At 37.9% G+C, this 21398-nt stretch overlaps 1 protein-coding gene across 5 annotated transcripts in view, besides 1 other annotated feature; it reads left to right on the plus strand.

Annotated features, from left to right (window-relative positions):
* The window catches only part of VPS13B (vacuolar protein sorting 13 homolog B), an 864307-nt gene that overhangs the window by 63583 nt on the left and 779326 nt on the right, over window positions 1-21398 (plus strand). For all 5 annotated transcript variants that reach the window (NR_047582.2, NM_152564.5, NM_017890.5 and 2 more), the window contains one exon: window positions 19456-19576. Coding sequence is in view for 4 of the 5 variants with exons in the window: in NM_152564.5 (NP_689777.3) it covers window positions 19456-19576 (121 nt within the window). In the remaining variant the exon portion in view is untranslated. The remainder of the gene's footprint in view (window positions 1-19455; window positions 19577-21398) is intronic.
* Window positions 3955-4014: an enhancer, noted in NCBI's record as "active region_27683". NCBI's record gives its function as "activates an Ori minimal core promoter by ATAC-STARR-seq in GM12878 lymphoblastoid cells {active_cell/tissue: GM12878}" and the evidence as "EXISTENCE:reporter gene assay evidence [ECO:0000049][PMID:35858748]".

The following is a 21398-nucleotide window of genomic DNA, read 5'->3' on the forward strand; positions in this document are numbered from 1 at the left end:
TCAAGGTTATTATTTATAGGTGAGGACTTATTTCTGTCATTTTATTGTTTTCTGGTTGTTTTATATATCCTTTGTTCCTTTTTCATTGTTTATTTTTGTGGTTTCGTGTTTTTCTGTATTTGTAATGTTTGGTTCCTTTCTCTTTCTCTTTTGTGTATCTGCTCTACCAGTGAGTTTTATACTTTCATGTGTTTTCATGATGGTGGATATTATTCTTTCACTTCTAGATGTAGGACTCCCCTAAGCTTTTCTTTTAGGGTGGTTTAGTGGTAATGAATTCCCTCAGTTTTTCCTTCTCTTAGAAAGATGTTACTGTTCTTTCATTTTTTTTTTTAAAAGGAGTTTCACGCTGGTTGCCCAGGTTGGAGTGCAATGGCGCGATCTCAGCTCACTGCAACCTCCGCCTCCCAGGTTCAAGTGATTCTCTTGCCTCAGCCTCCCGAGTAACTGGGATTACAGGAACGTGCCACCACACCTGGCTTTTTGTACTTTTAGTAGAGACAGGTTTTCTCCCTGTTGGTCAGGCTGGTCTCGAACTCCCGACTTCATGTGATCTGCCTGCCTCGGCCTCCCAAAGTGCTGAGATTACAAGCTTGGGTCCCCGTGCCTGGCCTGCTCTTTCATTTTTGAATAGCACTTTGCTGGAAATAGTTTTCTTGGTGGGCAGTTTTTTTCTTTTAATATTTTGAATATATTATCTCATTCTCTCCTGGTCTTAAGGTTTCTGCTTAGAATTGTGATTTTAGTCTAGTGGGGATTTCTTTATATGTGTGTTGACACTTTTCTCTCGCTATTTTTAGAATTCTCTCTGTGTCGTTGATTTTGATAGCTTGAGTATAATGTACCTTGGAGGACTTTTTCTGGTAGAATCCGTTTGGGGTTCTTGAGCTTCCTGTATTGAAATTTGTATGGCTCTTGCAGGAGTTGGAAGTTTTTAGCTATTATTTCATTAATTAGGTTTTCTATGCCTTTACCCATCTCATTTCCTTCTGGATTTTCTAAAATTTTCTGAATTTTCTAAAATCTAGTTAGATATTTAAAAAAGAAAAAAGTTATCTTAAAAGACTTGTCTTCAAGTTTAGAAATTCTTTCTGTTGCTTGATCTATTGTTGAAGTGCTCAGTTGTATTTTTTATTTTATTCATTGAGTTTTTCAGTTATGGGATTTTGTTTGGTTGTTTTTTTAATGACATCTATCTCTTTTGAATTTCTGATTCATGAATTTTTTTTTATAACCTTGTATTATTTATGTGTTTTCTCCTGTTTCTCACTGAGGCTCTTCGTTATCATTTCAAATTCTTTTTCCTTTTTCTTTGGATCTGTTACTAGAGAATTAGTGTGTTGCTTTGGAGGTGTCATGTTTCCTTGCTTTTTTATGTTTCTTGTGTCTTTATGTTGATATTTGTGCATCTAGTGTACCGTTCACTTCTTCTAGTTTTGCGGATTGTCTTTTGTTGGGAAAGACTTTTTTTCTTATAGATGCATCTATTATGTTGCTTTTGTAGGGTGCTTTGTCTTTGATTCTTGGTGGGTGAAGTAGTATAGTCTGCATGATTTCTTTGGCTGGAATCAGGATTAGTCTTGTCTGTGATTTCCCCAGTGGCTTAGGCTGTGGTTCTTAGGTAAAGGCTTTGGTGTGGCTTTTTCTTGGGAGGAGGAAGACAGGCAGACTAGTTCTCAGGCACCACTGGTGGCAGTGATGGGCTGCGCATGACAGTCCTTGGTGCCCTGTGTGGCATATGCAGGTGATTGTGGTGATGGGTCTAGATGGGCCAAACTTTGGTTGTCCAGGCAGCTTTTCTGGGTGCCAGAGGTAGAAGTGGTATGGTGAGTCTGGTGGGTCCTCAGAGTCTTGGGTAGTGTGATGGCATTGGTGGTAGCAATAGCGGTGGCAGGCCAACCATTGGGTCTCCAGTGGCAGGCCAGCAGTGGTGTTGGGCTGGGTGTGCCGGTCCCCAGTCCCCTAGGTGGTATGCATAGGTGAGTGCTGGTGATAGTGGCAAACTGAGCAAGTTGGTATATAGGCCCCTGGGAGATGCATGCTGGTGCCAGCAGTGGCCATGGTGGGTGTCTGTCTAGGCCCGCAGATAGTGCACATGGTAAAGGTGGCTGTCTGGGCAGATTCATCCTCAGGCTGCTGGAAGGTGTGTATGGGTTCTGGCAGTGGCAGGCCGGTAGGATCAATCTCCAGGCTCCCAGATATCAGGTGCCAGATGTGGTGAGTCAGTCTCCAGGGCTCTGGAGAATGGGCGTAGGCAATGTTGGTGGGCACGGCTGGTCTGTCCCCACAGGTTGGATGGGTTGATCCCCAGGCCCCAGATGGTGTGTTTTGATGGCAGTAGCGGTGGGTTGGGTGTGCCTGTCCTTTGATTCCTGGATGGTGTGTGCAAGTGGTGGTGGCAGGTGGGGTGGTCTTGTTGTCAGGCCCCCATCATGGTGTGTCTGATTATCAATGACAGCAGGTTGGGGCAGATCAATTCCCAGGCCTCCAGATGACACCTGTGGCTGTGGTGGCAGTTTGGGTGGGCTAGTCCTGTCCTTACTCCCACCTCCCCAAAATTGAATGTGGTTGTGGTGGATGTGGACAGAGCAGGTTGATACCTAGGCCCTGGTTGGCATGCTATCCATGTTGATATTTTACTCTAGTTTATAAATGTTAACTGCTGTATAGTATAGTGTTTAATGAATATTAAATAATGATCCTACTATGAATTTTTTTTATTTCTCCTTGTGTATAGATTTTAGAGTTCTAAAGTGGATTGTTGAGTTGAAGTTTATGTACATTGATTTTCCCCTTAATATAAAATTGTTTTTTTAGGTTACACTGTAAGAGAATTTCTGTTTGTCTATAGTGAAATCAATACTTGATAGTTTCATACTTGAATTTTGCCAGTTGAGTGGTTTTGAAATGTTAGCTCATCATCATTTTTACTTACATTTTTATCATAAAAAGTGGTTTTCCGGGAGGCTGAGGCAGGAGAATCGCTTGAACCCGGGAGGTGGAGGTTGTGGTGAGCCGAGATGGCGCCCCTGTGCTCCATCCTGGGCAACAAGAGCGAAACTCCATCTCAAAAAAAAAAAAAAGTAGTTTTCATTTTAAAAAAATTGCCTGTTCAAGTTTTTTTAGTTTTCTTAATAATGTATCATATTATAATTAATAATGTGTAAATATATACTTGTGTATTATATTGTATATTATCTATATCATATAAATTATATATAACATTAATGTTTCTTTTATTTTGTCTTTTTCTTACTGCAGGGGTCATTATTCAGAATACTTAATTTTGTTGCATGTTAGGTGTATTGCAAATATATTCTGTCACTCTTTGGATTTTCCTTTAACTTTCTTTAGTGTGTCTTTTGTGTAGAATAGCTTATTTTTGTCTTAATGAAGTTGGGTTTTTCTGGTTTTTGTATTTTTCTTGCTTTTGTATTTTTTGCTTTTTTGTTTCATGTGAAATTTTCAACTGACCTGTGGTCATAATAAAATTTCCTATGGTTTCTTGTAGTAATTTTAAACCTTTATTTTTTAATTTATATCTTTTAATCAGTGGGGTTTGTTTTCCTGTATAGTGTAAGGTATGGCACTTTATATGTCTAACTGGTTCTTCCTGTACCATTTGAATTGTTTCTCTTCCCCTCTGATTTATAATGCTACCTGTGTCATATTCCATGTATCCATATATATCACGATCTGTTTCTGGGCTCTCCTCTGTTCCATTGGCTTGTTTAAATTATTATGGTTCTAAAATAAATCATAATGTGGGGTGGAGGTAATTTCCCCACTTACTTTATATTTTGTGTTTGTTTGCATAGATATTATTCAAGTATCTCTGAGAATCCTAAACACAATTGTTGTAAGATTGTTTAAGGCTGTTCTAGAAGATTAATTTTATTGTGACTTAATTTTGTTGATTTCCTTAGCTGTCTTAGCATTAGATTTCTTCGTGTGCTTTAGAATGGTGGTTTGTAAGGTTATTTTTAACAGAAAGGTCATTATCTCTCTATTTCACCATCTTCTTCTTGTCTTACTCAAGCCCTTCCTCTGCTCATTGTTAGTGTTATAGTTACTTCCTCTGGTCTATGGTCTAGAATCCAGTTTTACCTTGACAGTTCAAGGCTCTTGCATTGCTGTATTGGGTGATAGCAAAGCATTGCTTATTTCGTTTTTCATGAGGTTTGTTTACTTCTGACACCCTTTATACATAACTTCATGTTAAATTCTAGGCAGTGGTTGGCAGTAAGTTTTTTCTGCCTCCTTCAAAATTGGGGATTCACTCTGTTACTGGTTTTAAGCGTTGAGCTTGGTAACAGTCTCCCATCCTTACATGACAATTTTCAGTTCTCTTTATTCTTCATCTGCCTCTGCCAGGTTTTACATCTTTTGCATGGCCACCTGTCTTTCTCAATCTGACTAAATGCTTTGAGTCTGGTTAAAATTTTTCTCTTTTTTATGTTATTGCTAGTATTTCTTGTCCTCCCCCATCCTCAATGTTTTTATCTAGTCAGCCTTTATCAGAAGTATAAATCCTTTTTTCTTTTTATTGGAAATCTAAAAGCTTCAAAGATTACTTTTTTTATTATACTTTAAGTTTTAGGGTACACGTGCACAACGTGCAGGTTTGTTACATATGTATACATGTGCCATGTTGGTGTGCTGCACCCATTAACTCGTCATTTAACATTAGGTATATCTCCAAATGCTATCCCTCCCCCCTCCCCCAACCCCACAACAGGCCCCCACCCCACAACAGGCCCCCACCCCACAACAGGCCCCGGTGTGTGATGTTCCGCGTCGTATGTCCATGTGTTCTCATTGTTCAATTCCCACCTATGAGTGAGAACATGCAGTGTTTGGTTTTTTGTCCTTGCGATAGTTTGCTGAGTATGATGGTTTCCAACTTCATCCATGTCCCTACAAAGGACATTAACTCATCATTTTTTATGGCTGCATAGTATTCCATCGTGTATATGTGCCACATTTTCTTAATCCAGTCTATAATTGTTGGACATTTGGGTTGGTTCCAAGTCTTTGCTGTTGTGAATAGTGCCTCAATAAACATACATGGGCATGTGTCTTTATAGCAGCATGATTTATAATCCTTTGAGTATATACCCAGTAATGGGATGGCTGGGTCAAATGGTATTTCTAGTTCTAGATCCCTGAGGAATCGCCACACTGACTTCTACAGTGGTTGAACTAGTTTATAGTCCCACCAACAGTGTAAAAGTGTTCCTGTTTCTCCACATCCTCTCCAGCACCTGTTGTTTCCTGACTTTTTAATGAGTGCCATTCTAACTGGTATGAGATGGTATCTCATTGTGGTTTTGATTTGCATTTCTCTGATGGCCAGTGATGATGAGTATGTTTTCATGTGTCTTTTGGCTGCATAAATGTCTTCTTTTGATAAGTGTCTGTTCATATCCTTTGCCCACTTTTTGATGGAGTTGTTTGTTATTTTCTTGTAAATTTGTCTGAGTTCATTGTAGATTCTGGATATTAGCCCTTTGTCCGATGAGTAAATTGCAAAAATTTTCTCCCATTCTGTAGGATGCCTGTTCACTCTGATGGTGGTTTCTTTTGCTGTGCAGAAGCTCTTTAGTTTAATTACATCCCATTTGTCCATTTTGGCTTTTGTTGCCATTGCTTTTGGTGTTTTAGACGTGAAGTCCTTGCCCATGCCTGTGTCCTGAATGGTATTGCCTAGGTTTTCTTCTAGGGTTTTTATGGTTTTAGGTCTAACATTTAAGTCTTTAATCATCTTGAATTAATTTTTGTATAAGGTGTAAGGAAGGGATCCAGTTTCAGCTTTCTACATATGGCTAGCCAGTTTTCTCAGCACCATTTATTAAATAGGGAATCGTTTCCCCATTTCTTGTTTTTGTCAGGTTTGTCAAAGATCAGATGATTGTAGATATGTGGCATTATTTCTGAGGGCTCTGTTCTGTTCCATTGATCTACATCTCTGTTTTGGTACCAGTACCATGCTGTTTTGCTTACTGTAGCCTTGTAGTATACTTTGAAGTCAGGTAGCCTGATGCCTCCAGCTTTGTTCTTTTTGCTTAGGATTGACTTGGCAATGCGGGCTCTTTTTTGGTTCCATATGAACTTTAAAGTAGTTTTTTCCAATTCTGTGAAGAAAGTCATCAGTAGCTTGATGGGAATGGCATTGAATCTATAAATTACCTTGGGCAGTATGGCCATTTTCATGATATTGATTCTTCCTACCCATGAGCATGGAATGTTCTTCCATTTGTTTGTATCCTCTTTTATTTCACTGAGCAGTGGTTTGTAGTTCTCCTTGAAGAGCTCCTTCACATCCCTTGTAAGTTGGATTCCTAGGTATTTTATTCCTTTGAAGCAATTGTGAATGGGAGTTCACTCATGATTTGGCTCTCTGTTTGTTATTGGTGTATAGGAATGCTTGTGATTTTTGCACATTGATTTTGTATCCTGAGACTTTGCTGAAGTTGCCTATCAGCTTAAGGAGATTTTGGGTGAGACGATGGGGTTTTCTAGATATACAATCATGTCATCTGCAAACAGGGACAATTTGACTTCCCCTTTTCCTAATTGAATACCCTTTATTTCCTTCTCCTGCCTGATTGCCCTGGCCAGAACTTCCAACACTATGTTGAATAGGAGTGGTGAGAGAGGGCATCCCTGTCTTGTGCCAGTTTTCAAAGGGAATGCTTCCAGTTTTTGCCCATTCAATATGATGTTGGCTGTGGGTTTGTCATAGATAGCTCTTATTATTTTGAGATATGTCCCATCGATACATAATTTATTGAGAGTTTTTAGCATGAAGCGTTGTTGAATTTTGTCAAAGGCCTTTTCTGCATCTATTGAGATAATCATATGGTTTTTGTCGTTGGTTCTGTTTACGTGATGGATTACGTTTATTGATTTGCGTATGTTGAACCAGCCTTGCATCCCAGGGATGAAGCCAACTTCATCTTGGTGGATAAGCTTTTTGATGTGCTGCTGGATTCGGTTTGCCAGTATTTTATTGAGGATTTTTGCATAGATGTTCATCAGGGATATTGGTCTAAAATTGTCTTTTTGTATTGTGTCTCTGCCAGACTTTGGTATCAGGATGATGCTGGCCTCATAAAATGAGTTAGGGAGGGTTCCCTCTTTTTCTATTGATTGGAATAGTTTCAGAAGGAATGGTACCAACTCCTCCTTGTACCTCTGGTAGAATTCGGCCGTGAATCCATCTGGTCCTGGACTTTTTTTGGTTGGTAAGCTATTAATTATTGCCTCAATTTCAGAGCCTGTTATTGGTCTATTCAGAGATTCAACTTCTTCCTGGGTTAGTCTTGGGAGGGTGTGTCGAGGAATTTATCCATTTCTTCTAGATTTTCTAGTTTATTTGCGCAGAGGTGTTTGTAGTATTCTCTGATGATAGTTTGTATTTCTGTGGGATTGGTGGTGATATCCCCTTTATCATATTTTATTGCGTCTATTTGATTCTTCTCTCTTTTCTTCTTTATTACTCTTGCTAGCAGTCTATCAATTTTGTTGATCTTTTCAAAACACCAGCTCCTGGATTCTTTAATTTTTTGAAGGGTTTTTTGTGTCTCTGTTTCCTTCAGTTCTGCTCTGATTTTAGTTATTTCTTGCCTTCTGCTAGCTTTTGAATGTGTTTGCTCTTGCTTCTCTAGTTCTTTTAATTGTGATGTTAGGGTGTCAATTTTAGATCTTTCCTGCTTTCTCTTGTGGGCATTTAGCGCTATAATTTTCCCTCTACACACTGCTTTGAATGTGTCCCAGAGATTCTGGTATGTTGTGTCTTTGTTCTCATTGGTTTCAAAGAACATCTTTATTTCTGCCTTCATTTTGTTATGTAGCCAGTAGTCATTCAGGAGCAGGTTGTTCAGTTTCCATGTAGTTGAGTGGCTTTGAGTGAGTTTCTGAATCCTGAGTTCTAGTTTGACTGCACTGTGGTCTGAGAGACAGTTTGTTATAATTACTGTTCTTTTACATTTGCTGAGGAGTGCTTTACTTCCGACTATGTGATCAATTTTGGAATAAGTGCGGCGTGGTGCTGAGAAGAATGTATATTCTGTTGATTTGGGGTGGAGAGTTCTGTAGATGTCTATTAGGTCTGCTTGGTGCAGAGTTGAGTTCAATTCCTGGATATCCTTGTTAATTTCTGTCTCGTTGATCTGTGTGATGTTGACAGTGGGGTGTTAACATCTCCCATTATTATTGTATGGGAGTCTAAGTCTCTTTGTAGGTCTCTAAGGACTTGCTTTATGAATCTGGGTGCTCCTTTATTGGGTGCATATATATTTAGGATAGTTAGCTCTTGTCGTTGAATTGATCCCTTTACCATTATGTAATGGCCTTCTTTGTCTCTTTTGATCTTTGTTGGTTTAAGGTCTGTTTTATCAGAGACTAGGATTGCAACCCCTGCCTTTTTTTGTTTTCCATTTGCTTGGTAGATCTTCCTCCATCCCTTTATTTTGAGCCTATGTGTGTCTCTGCACATGAGATGGGTTTCCTGAATACAGCACACTTAATGGTTCTTGACTCTTTATCCGATTTGCCAGTCTGTGTCTTTTAAGTGGAGCATTTAGCCCATTTACATTTAAGGTTAATATTGTTATGTGTGAATTTGATCCTGTCAGTATGATGTTAGCTGATTATTTTGTTAGTTGATGGATTTTCTTCCTAGCATCGATGGTGTTTACAGTCTGGCATGTTTTTGCAGTGTGTAGTACTGGTTTTTCCTTTCCATGTTTAGTGCTTCCTTCAGGAGCTCTTTTAGGGCAGGCCTGGTGGTGACAAAATCTCTCAGCATTTGCTTGTCTGTAAAGGATTTTATTCTCCTTCACTTGTCAAGCTTAATTTGGCTGGATATGAAATTCTGGGTTGAAAATTATTTTCTTTAAGAACGTTGAATATTGGCCCCACTTTCTTCTGGCTTGTTGATTTCTGCCGAGAGATCAGCTGTTAGTCTGATGGGCTTCACTTTGTGGGTAACCCGACCTTTCTTTCTGGCTGCCCTTAACATTTTTTCCTTCATTTCAACTTTGGTGAATGTGACAATTATGTGTCTTGGAGCAACAATTATGTTGCTCTTCTCGAGGAGTATCTTTGTTGCGTTTTCTGTATTTCCTGAATTTGAATGTTGGCCTGCCTTGCTAGATTGGGGAAGTTCTCCTGTATAATATCCTGCAGAGTGTTTTCCAACTTGTTTCCATTCTCCCTGTCACTTTCAGATACACCAGTGAGACATAGATTTGGTTTTTTCACATAGTCCCATATTTCTTGGAGGCTTTGTTCATTTCTTTTTATTCTTTTTTCTCTAAACTTCTCTTCTGGCTTCATTTCATTCATTTGATCTCCCATCACTGATACCCTTTCTTCCAATTGATTGAATCGGCTACTGAGGCTTGTGCATTCATGATGTAGTTCTTGTGCCTTGGTTTTCAGCTCCATCAGATCCTTTAAGGACTTCTTTGCATTGATTATTCTAGTTAGTCATTCGTCTAATTTTTTTTCAAGGTTTGTAACTTCTGTGCCATTGGTTCGAACTTCCTCCTTTAGCTCAGAGTAGTTTGATCGTCTGAAGCCTTCTTCTCTCAAATCGTCAAAGTCATTGTCCGTCCAGCTTTGTTCCATTGCTGGTGAGGAGCTGCGTTCCTTTGGAGGAGGAGAGGTGCTCTGATTTTTAGAGTTTCCAGTTTTTCTGTTGTGTTTTATCCCCATCTTTGTGGTTTTATCTACCTTTGGTCTTTGATGATGGTGATGTACAGATGGGGTTTTGGTGTGGATGTTCTTTCTGTTTGTTAGTTTTCCTTCTAACAGTCAGGACCCTCAGCTGCAGGTCTGTTGGTTTGCTGGAGGTCCACTCCAGACCCTGTTTGCCTGGGTATCAGCAGCGGAGGCTGCAGAACAGTGGATATTGGTGAACAGCAAATGTTGCTGCCTGATTGTTCCTCTGGAAGCTTTGTCTCAGAGGAGTACCGGGCTGTGTGAGGTGTCAGTCTGCCCCTGCTGGGGGGTGCCTCCCAGTTAGGCTACTCGGGGGTCAGGGATCCACTTGAGGAGGCAGTCTGTCGGTTCTCAGATCTGCAGCTGTGTGCTGGGAGAACCACTACTCTCTTCAAAGCTGTCAGACAGGGACATTTAAGTCTGCAGAGGATTCTGCTACCTTTGTTTGGCTATGCCCTGCCCGCAGAGGTGGAGTCTACAGAGGCAGGCAGGCCTCCTTGAGCTGTGGTGGGCTCCACCCAGTTTGAGCTTCCAGGCCGCTTTGTTTACCTACTCATGCCTCAGCAATGGCGGGCGCCCCCTCCCCCAGCCTCGCTGCCCCCTTGCAGTTTGATCTCAGACTGCTGTGCTAGCAATCAGCGAGGCTCTGTGGGCGTAGGACCCACCCAGCCATGTGCGGGATTTAATCTCCTGGTGTGCCGTTTGCTAAGACCGTTGGAAAAGCACAGTATTAGGGTGGGAGTGACCTGATTTTCCAGGTGCCGTCTGTCACCCCTTTCTTTGACTAGGAAAGGGAATTCCCTGACCCCTTGCACTTCCAGGGTGAGGCAGTGCCTCACCCTGCTTCGGCCCACGCTTGGTACGCTGCACCCACTGTCCTGCATCTACTTTCTGACACTCCCCAGTGAGATGAACCCGGTACCTCAGTTGGAAATGCAGAAATCACCTGTCTTCTGCATCGCTCATGTTGGGAGCTGTAGACTGGCGTTGTTCCTATTCAGCCATCTTGGCTCCACCCACTGTTTTTTTGTTTTTTTTTTTTTTTATAGACTGGGTCTGTTTATGTAGCCCAGCCTGGCTGCCAATTCTTTGGTTCAAGCAGTTCTCCACCCTCAGCCTCCTGAGTAGCTGGGATTATAGGAATATGCTACAAAGCCCTGTTTCAAGTATAACTTGTATTTTAAATGAGTCCTAAGTCTTTATATAACTGATCTCTTTCAGTCTCTTCTAGTACACATTCAGCTTTCCTGTGCACATATATAATTGTATGTCATGCCTTTACTAGAAATACCACCTATCAAAAATTGAATTTATTAGGCTGGGCGCAGTGGCTCATGTCGGTAAACCCAGCACTTTGGGAGGCCGAAGCAGGTAGATCAGTTAAGGTCAGGAGTTCGAGACCAGCCTGGCCAATATGGTGAAACCCCATCTCTACTGAAAATACAAAAATTAGCTGGGCGTGGTGGCATGCACGTGTAATCCCAGCTACTCGGGAGGTTGAGGCAGGAGAATTGCTTGAACCCCCGAGGCAGAGGTTGCAGTGAGCCGAGATTGCGCCACTGTACTCCAGACTGAGTGACAGAGTGAGACCCTGTCTCAAAAAAAAAAAAAAAAAAAATTGAATTTACCATTTAACCTTAAATATCAGATCTTAAAAAAAAAATCAATTGGTAATTTCCTGGGTAGTGTAGAGCTTAGAGATTAGTGTTGTCTTATATGACTCATGGTCAGGCATCTGTTTTTCTGTTCTGAAATTTGCAGATCTCATTAGCATCATTTTGCAATGTTAGAGCAGACATAAAAGTTAGATTATATTCTTCTTTCTTAGGAGACTGAGAAGATAATAGTGTCATTAACTGAATTAGGGAATAAAGGACAGAGGATTTTGGGGGAAACAATGGGAGAAGGGGAAAAAGGAGCTGAATCAGTTGCAGAGTTATGAGTTTTGTTTTAGACGTGTTCAATTTGAGGTGCTCACATAAAAAAATTTTTTCTCAGTGCTACTTCCCTCATTATTTAATTTCTAAACTTTTATAATAATCTATTGCTAATGTTTCTGCTTTTGCTCTTGGCCAAATACTCAGAAGAGTCTTCTTCCTAAATGAAATACTTCATCTTTTTATTCTCCCATTCATAAGTTTAATTGGCTTGTTTAATATATAGAATAAAGTTTAAATTTCTTGGACTAATAGGCCCTCTGCCATTTGCCCTAGTTTCTTTTTACAGCTTGATATTTCACTGCTCTCTATTTAACCTAAATTGGGCTATCCATTATCATTTCAGTAAGGCATGTTACCTTGCCTTGTTCAACTTTTCCTTTTTCATTCCTGCAGGTACAGTCTTTTCAAATCTCTTGTTCTTTGTGATGTTTTCCTGACTACTCAATCTCACTCTGATTTTTCTTTTCTCAGGATAAGGAAAGGTTAGGTTGGATAGGTTAGGAAAGGATAGGTTGTTAATTTAGTATTATATTTTTCAGTTCCCTTTTTCTCATAGGGAGGCAGTAGGGCAAAGTGGTTAGTATTGGGCATTTAATAGCTGTGTGATTTTGAAGCATTTAATCTCTTTATGCCTTCGTTTCTTCATCTATAAAATGAGGATATTCTTGCATTCATAGAGTCGATTAGGAGGATTGAGATATGAACATAATGTCTTTAGCAGTATGTGACATATTGAAAGTGTTACAATGTTTTTTCTGTTTGTCTCTTTTTCATCCATCCCTGCCTTCCTTCCTTCTGTTTGTAAACCAAAAAGCATTTGAGACAAGTCTCAATTTAGAAGTTTATTTTGCCAAGGTTAAGGACAAGCCTCAGGACGTCCTGATGACGTGTGCCCAAGGTGGTCAGGCTACACCTTGGTTTTGTGCATTTTATGGAGACATAAGACATCAATCAATATATATCAAATGTACATTGGTTTGGTCTGGAAAAGCAGGACAACGTTAGGAGGAAGGGGCTTCCAAGTAATAGGTGGAATCAAAGATTTGCAGTTGGTTGAAAGAATTTATCTAAAGACCTGGAATCCATAGAAGGGAGTGTCTGAGTTCAGATAAGGGATTGTGGAGAACAAAGTTCTTATTATGCAGATGAAGTTTCCAGGTAGCAGGCTTCAGAAAGAATAGATTGTAAATGTTTCTTAATCACACTTAAAAAGGTGCCAGACTCTTAGTTAATTCTCTCCTGTATCAGAGAAAAGACCACCAGGAAAGGGAAAGGGATTCTCTACAGAATATAGATTTTCCCCACAAGAGACAGCTTTATAGGGCCATTTCAAAATATGTATAAGGGTTATACTTTGATTTCTTTCAGGGCCTGTGATCTGTCATGTGATGCAATACTAGAGTCAGGGTAGAATTTGGTGTCTTATTGCTACAAAAAGTCTTAAGATTTCTGTTTTAATGTTAATACTGGTCAGTTGTGCCTGAATTTCAAGGAGAGGCGGGTATAATGAGGCATGTCTGACCTCCCACTCCCATCATAGCCTGAAGTAGTTTTTCAGGTTAAGTTTGGAATGCCTATGGCTTGAGCGGAGGGGTCCATTCAGATAGTTTTGGGGGCTAAGGATTTTATTTTTAGTTTATGCCTACTCTCCACTTTTCTTAAGAGAAGCTCTACTTTTCTTATCCTTGAAATACTTGCTGCCTAGTAACTGCTATTTCTTTGTGACATGTATAATCATAAACTTTTTTTTTTTTTTTTTTCACACAGAGTCTCTCTCTGTCACCCAGGCAGGAGTGCAGTGGTGCGATCTTGGCTCACTGCAACCTCTACTTCCCTGGTTCAAGTGATTCCCCTGCCTCAGCCTCCTGAGTAGCTGGGATTACAGGTGCAAAGCACCACGCCCAGCTAATTTTTTTGAAGTTTTAGAAGGGACAGGGTTACACCATGTTGGCCACACTGGTCTCGAACTCCTAACCTCAGGCAATCCACCTGCTTCCCAAAGTGCTGGGATTATAGGTGTGAGCCACCATGCCTGGCCTGATTAACTCTTAAATTACTAACTTTTTAGTGTTTACATAGGTTTTGTTATTTGAGTAAATAGGTAAAATACTTAGATAAAGGTATCAATTTTACTACTTTTTTTAAATTTTTTTTTCCTGAAGGTGCCTAACACATACTTTTCTTTGCTCAGACATCTTTTGCTGAGGGAAGTTATATACAAGAAAACAAAGTGCAGTTAAATTAATCTGTTCAATAACCCAGTTCCCCCCAGTGAATTTGGTAAAAATTAGATGGTAGAATGTGGTTTAGACCAGAGTAGTTCTGTATTTACTTTTTTTTTCTTCCTCCCTGAATTTCTGCCTATTTCACCTTCTAAATCTTAGAGTGGATCTCACAGTTTCAATTCTGTGGTTTAAAAAAAGTGGGAGAGGGAGGTGGCAATCGGATACACACCCACATACCCACCAATATGAAGGAAAGGAATGTCATAGGTAGCAATAAAGAACAAATTTTTCATAACATGTTTTGCAATTTCTCTGATATATGTTCTGGCATAGTTTAATAGTTTGATTATTCTGTGGCTGGGGCAGTATCATGGGTCGGGGGCTATGTGGGTGAAAAGAAGGCAGAGGAGAGATGGCTAATGGTTGAGTCATCTGGGAAAATGACTCTGGTCCTTTTACTGAGTAGCATGGGTCTCAGAGATTAGAAGAGCAGAGATTAGAAAAGCACATAGAAGTGTTCACAGTGAATATGGTGATCTCTTTTATTGTTAAAATGTGGCCCAATGAATGTTCAGCTTTTGGTCATTAAGGTTAGTTATATCTTCCTTTGAGATGATCAAATGAAAAGAATACAAGGGAGGGTCATTTCTTTTTCCTTTTTCCAGCCTGTCATAACCCCTTTTTTCCACCCTTGATAGAAGATGGAAACAGCCTCCCTTGTGGACTAAAGTTGATGTGTGAAGAGATTGGTGCTATATATTCCTCTTTATTTAAGCATGCTTGATATATATATTTTTTATGACTAAAGTTAAGGTTTTAAATATTGCTGTTAAGGTAGAGTTGAGTCAGATTTCTATTTTTACCATGAAAGTTAGTGAATGTGTTTTCCCTGGCTCTCTCTTGTGCTCTCCAAGTGTACCTCTGAGTAAATGACTTTATTTAGCTTTCTGTCTTTGAAGTGTGCAGTATTACTCTCAGAGATTCTTTATTGCATCTGGCTGTTGTCATTGTACTTGCTACTGGAGAGGATAGAGGTGAATGTTCCTAAAAGCCTTGTAGCAGTTCATTTCTAAGCCCCTTTGGTGACCAGAGCTGACAGGTGAGTCTTAGTTCTTTTCTGCTTGCGAAGTTTGGTGCCACAGGGTTGAAGAGCATAAAGTACATCACCTCTTAGTTTCACTGTCCACTTTCTCCTTCTTCAGCTCTTTCCTGCATCTTAACCTCTTGCTCTGTAGTTTTAGACAAGGACTTCAATGATGTAGTCACTTGTTTTCAGTTTTATTCTAAATGTTATTCACACTATTGTGAATCTGGGAGTTGATGGTTTTCTAGTTTTAGTTGACAAACCCTGTGAGGGACAGGGAGAAAAGTGAGTAACATGAACTCATGATCTGTCAGTATGAAAGTAATGGATCTGTTTACGTGCAGTGTTTGCCACACATTTTTCCTCTGTTAGGAACTTTTGTAAGGAAATGACATTCTTGCTTGTTTCATGAGGAGCAAATGGCAGTATTTTCAGAAATAGCTATGTGGTCCCCAAGAGAAAACATTCTTTGGCCATGAAATATACTTACCAGACATTTTGGAAAATTGCAACCTAAATAAGATATGACTGTAATGCTTTTGGTGTTAAAGATTATCTTAAAATATTTTAGCTGGTATTTTTGAGAACAGAGTTTCTTTTATTAGTAATTAAGGGCTTTCAATGAACGAAAACTGTGTAATGGTCCACAGTGATGCCTACTGGTTAAAAGCAGATGATGAATTCAAAACTAATGGAAGTAATTTCAGTCTTAATAGTAAATATTATAATTATTCTTATTTTGCTTTATTTTTATTTATTTAATTTGATTGGGGCATGATTTGAATGGAAACTCACTTTTATTTGATACAACTAAAATGTAATTGAAATGAAAGCAAGTTCAAATCATTGAAAGGATTAATTTCTAATTATAGTATATACATTGTCAAAGTTTCCTAACCATAATTAAGAAAGAAGTGTTTACATGTTTGGTAATGTTTGGTTTATAGTATATATTCCTATGAGTACCATGATTAATGCTCATTTTTTAAGCACACCAAAATTTCAAGTTTTTAAAATAAATTTTGTTTAGGCAAATAAAGTTATTTAGTTTGTTTTTCTTTTGAATAATAAATACATGTAGTTTGCAGGGAAGCTTTACTCACTTTTTTTTTTTCAGTGCTATCATTATTTAATTGCTATGTATTATATACATTTTGTATACTTTGGTATATTTTATATTGGTAAAATCAATGGCACCACAAATTAAATATGTCAAGCACTTATTTTTAAAATTACACTGAATGACTCCTAAAGATGTCTATACAAATAATATTATAAATTTTATGATGTAGAGAGATAATTAAATCAATCAAATACAGTATCTTTAATTAAGACAACAGGAAAACCCCAAAGAGGATTTGGTTACTGGAAAGAACAGCACTTGAAAAAGAACAGCCTCATTAAGAAATGTGAAAGTTATGAAGAGTTAAATACAAAAGTGGACAAACATATCTCACTTAGAGTTCTTTACACTGCATACTCTGGGAGTCTATGCTATTCAAAGCACCTCAAATTTGGAAATTTTTTTTTTTAAATTTTTTTTATTTATTTATTATTATTATACTTTAAGTTTTAGGGTACATGTGCACAATGTGCAGTTTAGTTACATATGTATACATGTGCCATGCTGGTGCGCTGCACCCACTAACTTGTCATCTAGCATTAGGTATATTTCCCAGTGCTATACCTCCCCCCTCCCCCCACCTCACAACAGTCCCCAGAGTGCGATGTTCCCCTTCCTGTGTCCATGTGTTCTCATTGTTCAATTCCCACCTATGAGTGAGAATATGCGGTGTTTGGTTTTCTGGTCTTGTGATAGTTTACTGAGAATGATGATTTCCAATTTCATCCATGTCCCTACAAAGGACATGAACTCATCGTTTTTTATGGCTGCATAGTATTCCATGGTGTATATGTGCCACATTTTCTTAATCCAGTCTATCATTGTTGGACATTTGGGTTGAGAGAATACTACAAACACCTCTACACAAATAAACTAGAAAATCTAGAAGAAATGGATAAATTCCTCGACACAGACACTCTCCCAAGACTAAACCAGGAAGAAGTCGAATCTCTGAATAGACCTTTACTCACTTTTTTTTAACAAAAATTTGAAAACTCATCGTTTTCATTTAATCCCATTTTGCTGCTAATAATTTTTAAAAAATAGAGTAAAAATAACTTGTTCTTTCTTTTGCTTTAAAATGTTTGTCATCTCACATATGCCAGATTTATTGGACTGCAGTAGTTTTAGTGCATTTTGGCTGGAATGTTTATTATGACATCACCATAATCTATATACAGTATGTGATTTCAGATGGTTTCAGTGTTAAATATTTTCATAATTATGCTAGTTTTGGCAGTTCACTTGGAACTTTTTCACATCTTTTTAATGAACATGTTTTACTTCTGGGCTTCTGAGACAACCATATGTTTCAAAAATTAATAATGTGCTTTTAATGTTAATGTTGTGCAGAAGTGTATGACTATGGACATTTTTAAGGATTTAAGTTGAACTAAAAGTAATTACAGTGAGGCTTTATTCACAGTAGTAGTCTTTTAGTATTTAAGACTGTAACATCCCCCAAATAACAGAAGATGTCTTTATGAATATTGAATAGTGAAGTTATTTTGTGGAATGAAACCTGTGATGTTTGTTTTTCATTAACTTAAAATGAACATAAGTTCATGAGAAAATTTTCAGTGTTGTTTATGGTTGCAAGTCTTTTTGCTTGTATGAAGTTTCAAACAAATTTTTTTCTAACGTATCACTACCATCTGAAGCCATGCTGTTTTGTAAAACACCTTTTATTGTATATTTCTCTTAGTGTGATAGTGAATAAAAGTTTTCTTAAAGAGGTCTTATTGTCGTTCTTATTTGCCTCTAGTACCCTGTTAGTTTGGTAAACTAGTGATGATTATTCTTTTATATGCTCTTGAAATTTTCCCTTCAAATATATAAAGTAGAAAAACTAAATTTAATACCATTCTTGTAAGTATTATAAAATAGTGTTATTATTGATTAATGAATTCATGGTGCGCAATGCACTCTCAGCTACCCTTTGTGTTGGTATCTTTGATCTCTCACTCCACATGTGCATCTTTACTTCAAGCAAAAATGTATTCTTTTATCCTTAAAAAAGGAACAAGAAGTTAGTTGCCAGCTGATCTTCCCTCATGTTACTACTCTACCTATTTTCTCTTCGTAATGCCTATCTTCGTGAAAGAGCAATTTATTTTAATTGACTCCATGGTAACTTCTCATTCACTCTGAGCTACTCATTTACTGCTCCCACTTCTCTCCCTCTGTGGGAACTGCTAAATCACCTTTCTAATAGGTTAGTGGCAGCCTCCTCCTAATTACCAAATCCTGAAACAGGTCAACTAGAATGAGGACTAAGAATATCTCTATAGTTGTTAACATTACCCCATTTTTATTGAAAGGTCTGTGCCTTTAACTTCTTCCATCTTAGACACTGTATACTCTGGCCTTATTTGACTAATCATCATTCTTTGTACGTGCTACATACGTTGATACTGTTTTGCTTTTGCTTATGGTTCCTCCCACCACCCCTCATTTAGCCCCAGTCTAAACCTAAAACATTTCTACATTTGATTTTGAATGGCCTGATCTTTCTAGTTCTTCCAAACAGAATGACTCTTTTTATACTCCTTATTACTTAAAAACAAACAAACAAACAAAAAGTATTGCTTTTGTAGAATTAGTTATACATGTGTTCGATAGATTCTGAAGTCCCTAAGGACAGGATACAAAGATAAATATATCTAATTTATCCTTGTAAATCCAGCAATTTGGCATGTAAGAGTATTATATACATGTTGAATCAGGACAGGAAAAAAGTACTCATTTGCAGTTATAAATACAGGGATAAATTTCAAAAATATGTATAATTTATTTGTTTCTGTTACTCATATTGAAACCCAGTTAAAACTTATACCTAACATGAATGATAATTTAGTATACATTGTTTAGTATACATTGTTTAGGAGAGGATTATAAGGATTATTAAGATTAATCATTAAAGATGACCAAGATAGCTTGGATTGAAAATAGTGTTTTAACATATAAACAACAAATGGGGAAAAATTAAGAACCTTTTTATTTATTTTGCACTTACATAGAGATGGATGTTGTTTAAAGGCTTTCATTAAGTCATTTTTTCTTTTGCTAGAGCCATAAATAAGAATTCTTTGGAGATTGTCAAGTAGTTTGTTTTGATATCAGCTAAAGAAAGAAGAATTTATAGTTTTAAACTATGAGTTATTAATATTTTTTAAATGCTGTTTGAGAATGCAAATTATGAAAATTGGTTATGTAGTTTTTAGAGCTAAAAAATAAAATTATGTTGATCTTATCTCCTGTAGCTACCATAAACTGCATATATTAAAAAATTTTTTTTCTTAATTCTTGAGTATGATCGATGGTTTTCTTTTTCTTTCTTTAAAATAAAAATAGGATGACCATGAAAGCTGTGGTTCTAATTCTACCAACCGTAGTACTGCTGAGAGCACAAAATCATCAATCAAACCGCGGAGAATGCAGCAGGCTGCTCCTACAGATCCTGACTTACCACCAGGTAACTTCTAATGGGATCAATAAAACCAAATTTCAATTTTTGGCCGGGCATGGTGGCTCATGCCTGTAATCCCAGTGCTTTGGGGGGCTGAGGCGGGTGGATTACTTGAGGTCAGGAGTTTGAGACCAGCCTGGCCAACATGGTGAAGCCATGTCTCTGCTAAAAATACAAAAATTAGCCGGGTGTGGTGGTGTGCACCTGTAATCTCAGCTACTCGGGAGGCTGAGGCAGGAGAATCACTTGAACCTGGGAGGTGGGGGTTACAGTGAGCCAAGATCATGCTACTGCATTCCAGCCTGGGTGACAGAGTGATACTCTGTCTCAAAAAAAAAAAAAAAAAATTGATCATTGTTTTAGTACTTTGTAGAATATATATTTTTAGTATCATAAAACTTTTAAGCTATATGTGCATATGTACTTGCTACATGACTTCAGAACAAATTGGGTCCTGGGATTACAGGTGTAAACCACTGTACCAAGCCCAAGGTACTTTTATCTTGAGACTCTGGTATCTTTTAGGCCAGACTTTGGATTCTGCTGCTTTCAGCCTTTTCAAGAGGAAAGAGTCTGGAGAAGACCTATCTGCTTCTTAATATCCCCAGGCTGGAAGTGATACATATTCCTCTGATCAAATTTCATTGAGGAGAACTATTTGCAGGGATATTACTTATGACTTAGAAGTTAAATCTCAGTAGCAATTCCACATTCCTGAAGTGGGAGCACAAATTATTGATGGATAGCTAGCTTCTCTGCCATACAGGTGTTCTTTCTTATTAATGTATCAATCCATTCTTAAATGGATTATGCTTCAAAGTATTATTTTGTTAATAACCTTCAAGATAGCTGATGTTTATATTTTATTACAGAAAACGTGATCATTAGAGAGCCTTTATTTCATTTTAATTTGACTGAATTTCAAATTATTGTTTAGTGGAGACAGGCTGTTTATTTCCCTAAATGTGTATCACTATTTGAATAATATGCTAGAGCAGCTCATTGAGGGCTATTTTTGCCCTCAAAGAGTTAACTGTTTAGGATAGGAGCCTTTTAAACTATCAATCACAGTACAAAGCCAAAGGAAGATGAGCTCTAATGAACCACAAGTAATATCTTTTGGGCACTAAAAGGAGGGAGTTGTCATGTCCAGGTGTGTGTGGCTTCTGAACACACACATGAAACAGAGGCAAGACAGATCAAAAATGAAAGTATGGGAGATAATATAAGAGACAAATAGTAGCCAAAAATAAATCTGTATCTTTCATATAAAAATGAGGCAAAAATAAGAAAACTAAAGACAAAAAACATTAATGGAGATAGGTAATAAAGATACTAAATTATAATAAAATATATAGTTCTCCAGAAGATACACATTGACTTTGTATGGACCTAACAATGTGACTTTGAAATGTCATAAATCAAGCAGGGAAAAAAAATCTCCAGATTAGTTCACTGGATATCAAAATTTTGTTTTAGTAGATACATGTAAACTCTGCACTAGGCACATAAGACAGTATACATTTCTTTTGATGCACACATTGAGTATCTACAGATATTAACAAAGACTTGGTTGAAAAGGAAGTCTTGAGAAATTTCAAAGCATCACTATCATGTATCTTTCTCTCTGACCACAATGTGATTAAATTAGATTATAATTATTGATGTGGTTGTATTTACTTCTGCCATTTCATTTGTTGTTTTTCTTTGTTCACTCTGTTTTTTGTTCCTGTTTCCCATCTCATGCCTACTATTTACTTTTTAAGAGCCCTGAAGTAGCTGCTCCATACATTCTCTCCAGGTTTTATGGCTTCAGTCACTGGGAAAG

This window comes from Homo sapiens, chromosome 8 (assembly GCF_000001405.40).
Source record: "Homo sapiens chromosome 8, GRCh38.p14 Primary Assembly".
Lineage (NCBI taxonomy): Eukaryota > Metazoa > Chordata > Mammalia > Primates > Hominidae > Homo > Homo sapiens.